We start from the raw sequence: 12,753 nt of genomic DNA, 5'->3' as shown, positions 1-12,753 counted from the left end.
ACTTGCACCAAAATATTGAAATACAGTTATTATTAGTACTCTGCTCTCTAGCTTACCTCCTGTATTAGTCTGTTCTCATGCTGCTAATAAAGACATACCTGAGACTGGGTAATTTATAAAGGAAAGAGGTTTAATTGACTCACGGTTCCGCATGGCTGGGGAGGCCTCACAATCATGGTAGAAGGCAAAGGAGGAGCAAAGTCACGTCTTAACATGACAACAGGCAAGAGGGCATGTGCAGGGGAACTCCTCTTTATAAAAGCATTAGATCTCAGGAGACTTATTCACTGTCAGGAGAACAGCACAGGACAAACCTGCCCCCCGATTCAATTACCTCCCACTGCATCCTTCCCACTACAAGTGGGGATTATGGGACCTATAATTCAAAATGAGATTTGAGTGGGGTCACAGCCAAATCATATCACCTCCTGCCTCTAAAATCTGGGTACTCTAAGGATTGGCCTCACCCATTGCCTTTTTTCCTATGGTTTTATTTTCATCTTATGACTCACAGAACCTCCTCACAAATTTGTATTTGTGTTCTGCCGTCTCTTGTTGTAGGCCCAGATTTTTTCATTCCCTACTAGATACCTCTTCTTGGGTGTTCTTCCATTTCTGAGACTCAGTACTCTAAAATTTCTCATTATCTGTCTAAACTAGTTCCATCTTTTCCTCTCTCTTTCTCTAATTTATATTTTTATAAATTATTAGACGCCTTATTCCAAAAGTGTTTAAGTCCAGTTATGAAAATATTTGAGCTGACTTCCAGTTCTCTAAAACCAGACTTTGGTCTCTTTTTTTCCCCAGTAACCGAAGAACTAAATAAAAAGTAGGAAAAGGTTTAATAACCTAAGAGGGAAAGTGGCATATTGTCATGAATTTTAGTTGGTTCTGACCAAAGGAAGAAACAGGCTCTTAAACTATCCCTCACCCTGCCCTGTCCAAAATCAAAAATCCTGAGACAATACTTCTAAATTTGAAGAAAAGCAGATTGAAGGGGTATCATTTCATTTTCTCTTAAATTTCGTGATTTTTTAATGTTAAATTTAAATAAAATCAATTTATTTTCATTAAGCAGTTTTATAGACACAGTATTTTCAGTTACTACAGAAGAATGTTACATGGAAAGCTGTCTGCAATAGCATTTATTTAATATCATCTTAATATTAGTAATTTTTGGACAGTAAATTGGGAGTGATTTCATCATTTCTGTTAAAGTTTTCTGTGTAGTAAATATGTGCCATTTTATAAAATCAATAAAGTCATTATTCTAAAATGTGTATAGTAAGACCAAAAGACCAAAATTGAATACGTGAAAAAATTCCAGGCACTGGAAAAATAAAAGCAGGAAATAAAAAGTGAGTTGCGTGCGTGTCATCAGGATCTGATTAAGTGCTTACAGGACCAAGTGTTGGCTCTGAAAGAGCCAGTTCAAAAACAGAAATGCAGTTCGTCCAATGGTTTGAAGACTTTTGTGCAGGACATCTTCAGCCCACTATATGAAACAGATAAAAGTGTAGATGTTCTGGCTGAAATGAGGGAGAAGACCCCAAAAACTTCTGCCTGCTCCTAAACTCGCTCCAACACACACACACACACACACACACACACACACACACACACACTCTCTCTCTCTTTCTCTCCCCGCCACACACGCACACATGCTGACTCTCTCCATCTCACACACTCTGTCTCTCTCTCTCACACACACACACACACAGAGCACTTGAAGAGGTCCTGAGCTGAAAATGGCAGTGCAGCATGAGTGTCTCAGTGAAGCCTCAGTGTTGATGTGCTGATAACAGAGCAAATAGGTTTCTCCTTGGCTTTCCCAAACGAGTTGACCTTCCATCCTCTAAATCAACACCCTCCCAAATTGGATGTACGACAAGCCATCAGAATGTGAGAAGAAATGGTAGAACCACGATTTATATATGCCTTTTATCTAAAAATCTTAAAAAGTAATCTCTACTAATATTTACTGTATAGATTGTTGGCCCTGGTGCCATCACTGAAAGTGAGCTCTCCTCTGACATCACCTGTTAGTCTTGCACATTATTGCATGTCTTGGACCTAGTTATGTAGTACTGTCAAAGTACCTTAAGGGTAGCTGGGAGTCCCACAACACAGAGGACTTGAGAATGAGCCCCTCACTTGTTTGTTCACTTTCAGCATTATATGACTTAATAGTTTACAGATGCTCAACTAAATGAATTTGCAGAGTTTGTTTACCTTGTTTTAATTGAATTGACCCTCCCAATACCGACACTGGTTTGAGGTTTCGGCAAAAATAACCACAACAAAAAACCCCATAAGACAAAGATAATATTTGTAATGCAGATACAAACAAATAATAAGAGAAATGGCTGAGCTGACACTTCTTTTACTAGGAAGTAGCAGAAGCTCTGTGTCATCCTCATTGTTAGGTAAAAAAGAATGAAGATCTAATCATATCTGACATGAAGTGGGCCAGAAATTCCACTGTTTCAGTAGACTGTGTGAAATGTGGAATTGCTTTTATATCCATCCCCTTCCAGTCCCTGAAAGGCTATATCAAAACCCAATGACATTGAATGCATCCAAGTAGGGAAATCGGGGGTGAGGGCATTTCATTATAGACCCCTTTAAATTTTGAACCACAAGAATATATTTCTATTAAAAAATAAGTAAAATTAACATTAATAGAAATGAGGATTTACAATTTTTTATAATGGGCCATTAAAGTAAAATTAAAGCTTTAGTTTCCTATTTCATCTTGATCTTATTCTACTTTATGTATTTTTGTTTATATACTATATTAGTATTATAGTTGAAACATTTTGGCATTTCATGCTGAGAACTTTCTTGCCACTATGGGGGGATAATTTAATTGCTGAAAGATCACTGCTCCAAGTCAGCCCATCTGGATACCCAGAAATTCCCTTTGGCACCTCCCAAATTATTGCTTCCCCACATCTCTCCCCTCCATCACTCCACAAAGATAAATATCTGTTGCCAGTATCTGTCCATTCTTCCTTTGGAGTTTGTCTTAAAAAGACAAAATCCAAGTAGAGGGAGGAGAAGAACAATTTCTATTTTGCAGGAAAGAAAATGGCCTTGATATGTTGTACTTGAACCTTATCTCATGCTTTTCTGTTCTCAGAATGTTTATTTTTTTTATGGTCTCACTAGCAGCAATAATAGTTACACTTCAAAAACATTTTCCAAAAACTATCCTTAAAAAGAGCTAGGAAGTTTTTTTGAAATAGAAAGGCAAACTTGTGTGGGGAGGATGAATGGACGAAGGCTTCAGTTTGAAGAAGGTTCTAGTCTTTTTCAACTTCTCTATAGGAAGAGAACTCCAGAGATTTGGAAGAATTACCTAAAACCAGTTCTGAGACAAATAGCACTACCTCAAGGGTCATGGAAGAAAAAGGTGAGTAAAATATCTGCTTGGGTAAATTGACTGAGCCTTCAAAGCAGCCAGCGTGTCTCTCAACCGAAACGTCTATTTTGCTCATTTACTTTTCCTGTGTAATAAAGTGCCTCATGCTTAAGATTAATAGGGCTAGGGAATCATTTTTAATTTGGATCCTGCTATACTCAAAGTGTGCTGTTTACTAGTCACCCAAACTCAGGCTTGTTAATTTTGATGGTAGAAACATGAAAATGGAGTGTGTGGTTATGTGTGGCTGCAGCTGTGTAGGTCACCTGGGTAAAGGTGGGGAAGGCTGACCATGGTCACTAGCATTGAACAAAGTTCTTCCTTTTCTACAGATGAATATAGCAGCAGTGAAACTACTGGTGAAAAGCCAGAGCAGAACGATGATGACACCATAAAATCTCAGGAGGTGAGATGTGCTTTTCGTATTTGTTTGTTCACAATTATTTAAGCACTAACCAAATTAAATTCATTAAATACTGTTATCTTGAGTTTTTCTTAAGTACTTTGAAGAAGCTGCGGTTTTTTTAGTGCAATGGAACACCATTTCATACAGTGCATTTTATCAGTGTCATTTTGATTAATTTTTTTCTCTTCATCTTTGTTTCTTCAAAACATTTGTATGAGACCCACTTATGTCATAGCCAGATAGGATCAGCTTAGTGCTCTACGTCAGCGGCAATGTCAGGTTCCTGGCCTGGCAATGCTGAGCTGCCAGGCCAGGCACATGGCAGCAAACAGGAGGCTGTCTGAGCCATGGAGTCCAGCTAGGATGAAATAGGAACAGCAGCAGGGTGTGCAGAAGGCATGCAGGGAATACTCGAGGGGACCTAGTTCATGAGGCAAGGTCATGGATTCCTGGAGGCTGCATGCACAGACAGAGCATCCCAGCCCTGCCTGCTGTAAGCCCATAGATTTTCAGGGAGCCTGTGGAGCAGAGAATTGCAGTGGCTTGAGACTGAGCACCATAAATCAAGAGACACAGCCTGTGCACTAGCCGGGTCTAGATAACCATTGCCAGGTTTGCCCATTGTTAAATCATTTGTTATTGTTCTGTCTGTATGATATATTCAGTGGACCCCTTTATTTTTTATAAGGGTATCATTTGGTCACAACTAACTTGGGCCAAATCCCAAATTAAATGGACATACATACTTATTACAGAAGTAAAAGGTTACACTTTGATTACTTCATTGTCTCAAAATCCTCATGGCTCCATTAATTTATGACAGTTAGTGATATTTATCAGGTTGAAGAAGCAATGGTGAGATCAGTAAATAAAACACTAAGCCCTACATCACATATTTTTAAAGTGACAAAGCTAGGATTTGAGGTCTCTTAGACAGGAACTCTAAATCTGATTTTTGAGAAAACTTTATATAATAAAGGATAAAATTTTTTTTCTTATTGCTGTTGTTGTTTTTTATTTCCCCCTTAGGAAGATCAGCCAATAATTATTAAAAGGAAAAGAGGAAGACCTCGCAAATACCCTGTAGAAACAACGTTAAAAATGAGTAGGTACTTGGTGTGTTTTCAGTTCACACACAAGAAATTTTCGAACCGATTTTCTAAGTGAATTTTTTTTTTTTAGAAGACGACTCCAAAACAGATACTGGCATTGTCACTGTAAGTAATTGCAAAACATGACAATTTCAAATACTTGCTCTTAACCTGAAAAACGGTATAATGCAATATCTAGTATTTTGAACTTTATTTTTTTTACTTGAAAAGCTTTAAAAGACTGAGTAACCATTCATATATTTTGATTACTAGTATCTTTGTGTAAACAGAGTTACATTAGTTGTTCTTCATTCTGATTCCATTCTAATTCAGGAGTTTGATTATTTAAAAATTATCTAGGGATTTAACTTCTTGTGGCCACCCTTGGTTAAAATATACAAATTAGCTATTTTATAAGATTTTGAGATAGTGGCTTCTTTATAGAGACTTGTGAGTTGTCTTACCATCTTACTACTTTCTTTGGAATTCTTTTTGACCTAAAATATTCACTGAGTTCAGTGCAGGAAACTCCTTAGTGATATTTTATGTTTGAACGTTCTTTATCTTTGACCCTGACGTATACCCACCAAAATCATTGTATCAGGATTCCATCGCATGCATTTCAATGGATTATTATAAGGAGGACATTACAAGAAGAGCATTGTAAGGAGGACAGACGTGTGTTCACTGACCTAACAAAACAACATGGGATTCAAGCCTCAGCTTTGTCACTTATCCCGAGACCTGTGACTTAGGGCCAATCATGGGACCCTCTGGTGACTCAGTTTCCTTGAATGTGAAGTGGTATGATGCCTGCAGTACTTATCTCATAGAATTATTATAAGACAAAACCAGAGAAGCACATGTGAATGCATTTAGCAACATGTAAAATGGTTTGCCTTGGGAAACATTAACCACAGTGGCCATGCTGCATTGCCTCACTTCTCATCCTGTAGCATCACAAAAGGGAAGTTACTTATTGGAAAGTCTGTATTTAGAAGCTCAGGCATCCATGTTTGCTAGGTATACTTAATCAATTACAGAAAATAGGTCTCAAATACGCCTATGTAAATAAAGATCCTATACCACCTTTACATCATTGATTGCATTTCTATGTGATGATTATAAACTGCTGATTTAAAATTTTTTTTTGTTTGTTTATTTAAACATAGGTAGAACAATCTCCATCTAGCAGCAAACTGAAAGTAATGCAAACAGGTATGTACCTACCGCATTCCTCTGTGTGTTATCTGAGGGAGGGGCAGGAGAGGCTGGCTGTTGGAGAAGGTTTGGAACTTCCATTCTGCCTCTCATTGAAGTGGGTGGCCCCCTTGGTAAAAATAATTGTCCTTGTATCTGGGAGAGACTGTATCTATTGGCTTACAGAGCCCAGGACTCAAGAATTGAAATTGTTTTGACTATTTTTCTCCTCATTCCAAGGAGAAGAATATATTCCAAAATGTTGATAATGATTAGCTCTGGAGGGTGGAATAATGGGAGCATTCCATATTATTTGTCAATATTGCTTGCATTTTCCAGATATTTTTTGCAATGTATATGTATGCATTTTGTGGTCTAAAATTTTTTACATAAAACAAGAGGTGCCATTAGTGAGCTTTGAAGTGTTGATATCAACAACAAAGATTAATGTGACAGCTATTTTGTATCAAATAAATAGTATGGTCAGACTGAGAAAGTACATATTCTCATCAGCAAATAAAGCAAATAGGTAATATATAGTTGTTTCCACATTTAACTATGTGTGATCGTACTTCATTTTTTCTTGTGTCTTGGTAAATTAAGGTTCATTTATTTTTTGAAAGAGGAAGGAGATTATGCACGTTTGGTCTTAACCAGTTTTTATTAATAATTTTGTAGTATTTTGAATCCATACAAGAAATCTTTATAACTTCAGTCCCCTTTAAGGACTCCAATTAAAGCTGTGTTATTCAGAATGTTTTCTGAATGTGGGTAAAATGATGACCATTTTAAGACAGTCCTCTTTGTTGACATTTCTATTGGGTTAACTTTTTCATCTTCATTGGTATTTTAAACTTGCAAAAAAGGACAACTACTACCGTCACTAAAAAGAAGTACCTTTGAGTTTTTGAGTGCCTGATGAACATCCCCATAATTTCAGCTTCAACTAGTGCATTGAACTAATCTTTACTTTTCTTACCATGATACAGTCTCAGAAAATTGTAACATCTGCAGAAAGCAAATGCATAAAGAATGTATGTATGCACCCTACAAACAGGTCATAAAATGTACTTTTTTAGCTACCATGATGTATTTGGAGTCAAAAGAATTCTACCTGTCACTCTACTTGTTAGTTATGTGACTCTAAACAGATTACTCAAGCCTGGTTTGTTCAGACTATAGGCTGGGATCATAATACTTGCAGAGCTACACTGAAATTGAAAAGTCCATATTAGCCAGGTGTGGTGGCTCACACCTGTAATCTCAGCACTTTCAGAGGCCTCCACAGGAGAATCACTGGAGCCCAGGAGTTGGAGGCTGCAGTAAGCTATAATTGCACCACTGCACTCTAGCCTGGCCAACAGAGCAAGACCCTGTCTCATAAAAATAAAACAAAAGTACCAGTTATATATCCTTATTCAAAATGCCTAGGACACCAGAAGTGTTTCAGATTTTGAATTTATTCAGATTTTGGAATATTTGCATTTCCCAGTTGAGCATTCCTAATCAAAATTCAAAATGCTGCAATGGCATTTCCTTTGAGGGTCATGTTGGTGCTCAAAAAGTTTTGGATTCTAGAACATTTTAAATTTTGGATCATCAGATTAGGGATGCTCCGCCTGTATATCATTCCAACTTGCAGTTACTGGTACATATTGTGGGCTCCTTATATGCCCCCTTTTTTCTTCTTTTTTGGGGTCAGAACATTTAAGCTGAAAGGGAATAAGAGTAGTCTAACCCAGCCGGGCGTGGTGGCTCACACCTGTAATCCCAGCACTTTGGGAAGCCAAGGCAGGCAGATCACCTGAGGTCAGGAGTTCAAGAGTAGCCTGGCCAACATGGTGAAACCCCGTCTCTACTAAAAATACAAAAAATTAGCTGGACATGGTGGTGGGCACCTGTAATCTCAGCTACTCAAGGAGGCTGAGGCAGGAGAATTGCTTGAACCCAGGAGGCGGAGGTTGCATTGAGCCAAGATCACGCCACTGCACTCCAGCCTGAATGACTGAGTGAAACTCTGTCTTAGAAAAAAAAAAAAAGTAGTCTAATCCAACTTCTTATTTTGCAGCTGAAAAAACTGAGGGTCAGCAAATTTAAATAAAATCTGAAATGAAAACTTATGTTTCGTGACTCACAATCCAATGTGATCTCTGCTAGGTATTCTGATTCTATCTTTGCTTGACTGATACAAGATAATGATGAAATGTATAACAATGTATTAATACTGATACATTGACAGACAAGCCAGGCTGATTGTTGAAATTTAAATTTACAGTAATAAAATATTAATGCAGAGATTTCCCTTTTCTTAAAGATGAATCCAATAAAGAAACAGCTAACCTACAAGAAAGAAGTATAAGCAATGTAAGTGTTAAATTTCTTATCAAGATATGTTGTTTAGAAATCAACTTAAATGCTCAGCTGACCACCCTTTTGACTTTAATTTTATTGCTTCTAGGATGATGGTGAAGAAAAAATAGTAACAAGTGTGCGTCGGAGAGGAAGAAAACCCAAACGTTCTCTCACTGTATCAGATGATGCTGGTATGTTTCTAGCAAATTCTTAATAAGTCTTATTGTTTCAAAACCACCTTTTTAAAGAGTTTTTCTTTGAATGAGGAAAAATCCAATGGGTACAGCTAATATTAATATTATATAAATATGTGTGAAATAGGTCTAATCCCGTGTCAGAAATGGTACATCCCAGATGCTTTTCTGAGTACATGTCAATTTTTTATGAACGCTGGCTGTGAACTGCATATGTAAACTATCCAAAATGTGTTTGAGATTAAGTTAAACAGTTGTGAATTGCAAGTGCTGAAACAAAAAGGAAGTGGAAAACCATTTCTCTGCCTCCAAGTCCCTAATATCCTAAGTTCTAAACTCCATGACTCTCTCTCTTGGAAGTATCTTTGGGAATTGTAAAATCCAGGTGTTACCCTTCTATTTGAACAGAATCCTCAGAGCCAGAAAGAAAACGCCAGAAATCAGTTTCTGATCCAGTGGAGGACAAGAAAGAGCAGGAGTCTGATGAGGAAGAGGAAGAAGAGGAAGAGGACGAGCCTTCAGGAGCCACCACAAGATCCACCACCAGATCAGAGGCTCAGAGGTAATGGGGGCAGCACAGAGCTGCCAGAGACCTTCACCAGCTTCTCCATCTGAAAATTGCTCTGGGTTTTCTGGGATTCTCTTTGAACTGAATCATTCATGCTGCAGTGGAAGTTCTTCCCTTTCATTTTTATTGTTAGCAGTGGGCACATAGTTCTTGGAGAACACATTTTCTGTCCTAAACCATTTTGGGGGATTGCCTCAAAGTCTTTACCAGGTTTTAAATGCCTATTTGGTGGAACCCATTCAATTCCTTACAAATATATTTTTTGAGCATCTGCCATCCTTCAGATGTCGTATTGAGCACCATTCATGAATATGGACATACATAAAACATCATCCCTGCTCTCAGCATACTTAATTCAACCCAGAAAGCAGGAGGAACCAGGCCCACGCACCGTCATCACATGCATCTCACCAGTGCTATGCAATAGGTTGATCATAGGAAAGTGCCCAAATTTGACCATTTTTGAGGTAATTTCATATATTTCCCAAAATGTGTTCTCTCAAACCCTATTGTAGCCAGAAACCTCTGAGAAAAAGAGTACCACGGTCAGATGAGTTTGGGAATGTCATTGAATTCTCTCTCCTTCCTCAGTTACATGTTCATTAAAATATTAAGGGTTTGGCAAACTCCAGGGCTGGGCGCGGTGACTCACGCCTGTAATCCCAGCACTTTGGGAGGCCAAGGCAGGCGAATCACGAGGTCCGGAGATCGAGACCATCCTGGTCAACATGGTGAAACCCCGTCTCTACTAAAATACAAAAATCAGCCAGGCATGGTGGTGAGTGCCTGTAATCCCAGCTACTCGGGAGGCTGAGGCAGGGGAATTGCTTAACCGTGGGAGGCGGAGGTTGCAGTGAGCTGAGATGGCTCCACTGCACTCCAGCCTGGTGTTAGAGCAAGACTCCATCTCAAAAAAAAAAAAAAAAAAAAAAAAAAGGGTTTGGCAAACTCCTAAAGGAAAGAAGCCTGTTGAACTTTGTTTAAACAAGCATTATTTGCTGATACCACTTTTCTGTTGTTGGCCTATATCATTATACCTGTTCACATCATCCAGTGTTCCTTTCCCCATGGCACATTTGAGAAATGGTACATAACTGTATTGTCTCATCCTAACCGTTAATCACTTTCCCAAACATGAATATTTTCCAGGCTGAGCACGGTAGCTCATGCTTGTAATCCCAACACTTTGGGAGACCAAGATGGGAGGATCACTTGAGCCCAGGAGTTTATGAGACCAGCCTGGGCAACACAGGGAGACCCCATCTCTACAAAAAAATTAGAAAATTAGCTGGGCATGGTGGCATGCACCTGTAGTCCCGGCTACTTGGGAGGCTGAGATGGGAGGATCGCTTGAGCCCAGGAGCTTGAGGCTGCAGTGAGCTGTGATCGCACCACTGCACTCTAGCCTGGGTGACAGTGAGACTCTGTCTCTGAAAAAATATATATTTTTTTAATTTTTAATTAATGTGATTTACAAGCTATTAATCTTGGTATCATCTTGTTTAATTTCATTATTCAAGATTGATCAAAAAGTTCAGGAAGATTTATTTCAAAAATAACACTAACAGCATAATATAATAGTATCTTGTGTTTACATAAAGAACTAAAATCGGGGCTGGGCACAGTGGCTCACACCTGTAATCCCAGCACTTTGGGAGGCTGAGGCCGGCGGATCACGAGGTCAGGAGTTCGAGACCAGCCTGGCCAATATGGTGAAACCCCATCTCTACTAAAAATATAAAAAATTAGCTGGGTGTGGTGGCACGTGCCAGTAATCCCAGCTACTTGGGAAGCTGAGGCAGGAGAATCGCTTGAACTCGGGAGGTGGAGGTTGCAGTGAGCCGAGATCACGCCATTGCACTCCAGCCTGGGTGACAGAGTGAGACTCCCCGTCTCAAAAAAAAAAAACAAAAAAAAACAAAAACTTAAAATCAATCTGTTTCTAATTCCTCCAGACTTAACACAGTATTAGCCATTTGTGCCATGGTTTGATTTCTCAAAGAATCAGATTTTAGAGCCAAAGGACTCTAGAAGCTCACACGGCTAAAGTTATAAGGTGGTCTCATATTTGTTTTTTTAGGTGGAGCAGCTCACATAAATAGAAAAGAAGTCACAGAATCCAAATTGCTGCTGCTAGGAGAGGGTGAGGGTGCTGGAGCCCAACACCCATGCATTTGGGTATAGCATCCATCCCACCAGAATTACTGCTTCCCTTTAAAACAGTTGTGGAAAGTAGGGCTCAACTCAGAGAAAGTTCCATAGGCCTTCTAGCCATCTTCGAGTGAGTGTCTAGAAATTGCTCTCAGATTTGCCTTTTATAAATTCTTTAAAAATAAATCTTATTTGATTTATATGGTTCTGTAATCACCTGGATTATCAAAGCTCTTCCTTCATGCACTTTATAATATAAACTTTTGATTTACAAATGAGTTGTTTTCTCTCTAGTTTAGATTCCTTGGCATTGGTTGATCAGTCCCAGGGCTCTGGTGTCTTCATAATTTTACAAATTGTCTGAGTTGGGTGGGCTCTCAGTGGTCATGTAGTACCAATAGCCAGTCAGTGCCTGAGTCACTGCACCTGCAGCTCCTCTGAAAGGGTCTTCCTGCTTTTGCATGGACCTCAGTGGCAGGGAAAGCCACATCCTCCTTAGCATTCTCTGACTTGTGTTCAGTAGAAGCCGGCCTCCCTGTGGCTTCTACTCTTGATTCTAGTTCGACTTTCAGAACCTTCTGTCTAATTTTGCCTTACATATTTGAGGGCAGCTTCCAGGTCTTCTCTGCTTGCTTATTGAGCCCCTTCATCATCCCTGTTTGTGCTCATCAGTTACCTTTATCCTCTTTTAGAAGCAAATGTGCAGCTGGGCGCAGTGGCTCATGCCTGTAATCCCAGCTACTCAGGAGGCTGAGGCAGGAAGATTGCTTGAGGCTGGGAGTTCGAGACCAGCCTAAGCAACATAGCAAGACCCTCTTAAAAGAAAAAATTAAATTAAATTAATAAAATATAAAAGAGGCCACGCACAGTGGCTCACGCCTGTAATCCCAGCACTTTGGGAGTCCAAGGCTGGTGGCTCACTTAAGGCCGGGTGTTCAAGACCAGCCTTGCCAATATGGTGAAACCTCATCTCTACTAAAAGTACAAAAAGTAGCCGAGCATTGTGGCAGACTCCTGTAATCCTAGCTACTTGGGCAGCTGAGGCAGGAGAATTGCTTGAACCCGGGAAGTGGAGGTTGCAGTGAGAAGAGATTGTACCACTGCACTCCAGCCTGGGTGACAGAGCGAGGCTCTTTCTCAAAAGAAAGAAAGAAAGAAAGATAGATAGATAGAGGCTCTTTCTCAAAAGAAAGAAAGAAAGAAAGAAAGATAGATAGATAGATAGATAGATAGATAGACAGACAGACAGACAGACAGACAGATAGATAGAAGCAAACTCTGTATACCAAGTGTGGTCTAATGAATCCAGAAGAGGACTGTTCTACCTTATTTTCTGGATATTGTTCTTCAGTGTGCATCCTCATTAC

General features: G+C 39.3%; 1 protein-coding gene across 10 annotated transcripts in view; it reads left to right on the top strand.

Annotated features, from left to right (window-relative positions):
- The window catches only part of BOD1L1 (biorientation of chromosomes in cell division 1 like 1), a 58,988-nt gene that overhangs the window by 41,659 nt on the left and 4,576 nt on the right, over positions 1 to 12,753 (top strand). For 4 of the 10 annotated variants that reach the window (XM_011513829.3, XM_011513827.3, XM_011513830.4 and 1 more), the window contains 9 exons: positions 3,331 to 3,415; positions 3,757 to 3,830; positions 4,860 to 4,935; positions 5,013 to 5,047; positions 6,094 to 6,139; positions 7,111 to 7,155; positions 8,436 to 8,485; positions 8,580 to 8,664; positions 9,076 to 9,229. In XM_011513829.3, coding sequence (XP_011512131.1) covers positions 3,331 to 3,415; positions 3,757 to 3,830; positions 4,860 to 4,935; positions 5,013 to 5,047; positions 6,094 to 6,139; positions 7,111 to 7,155; positions 8,436 to 8,485; positions 8,580 to 8,664; positions 9,076 to 9,229 — 650 coding nt within the window. The remainder of the gene's footprint in view (positions 1 to 3,330; positions 3,416 to 3,756; positions 3,831 to 4,859; positions 4,936 to 5,012; positions 5,048 to 6,093; positions 6,140 to 7,110; positions 7,156 to 8,435; positions 8,486 to 8,579; positions 8,665 to 9,075; positions 9,230 to 12,753) is intronic. The other 6 variants (XM_017008009.2, XM_006713958.4, XM_017008010.2 and 3 more) reach the window with 3 other exon arrangements.

This window comes from Homo sapiens, chromosome 4 (genome assembly GCF_000001405.40).
Source record: "Homo sapiens chromosome 4, GRCh38.p14 Primary Assembly".
Lineage (NCBI taxonomy): Eukaryota > Metazoa > Chordata > Mammalia > Primates > Hominidae > Homo > Homo sapiens.
This window is presented reverse-complemented; position numbering and strand designations above follow the sequence as displayed.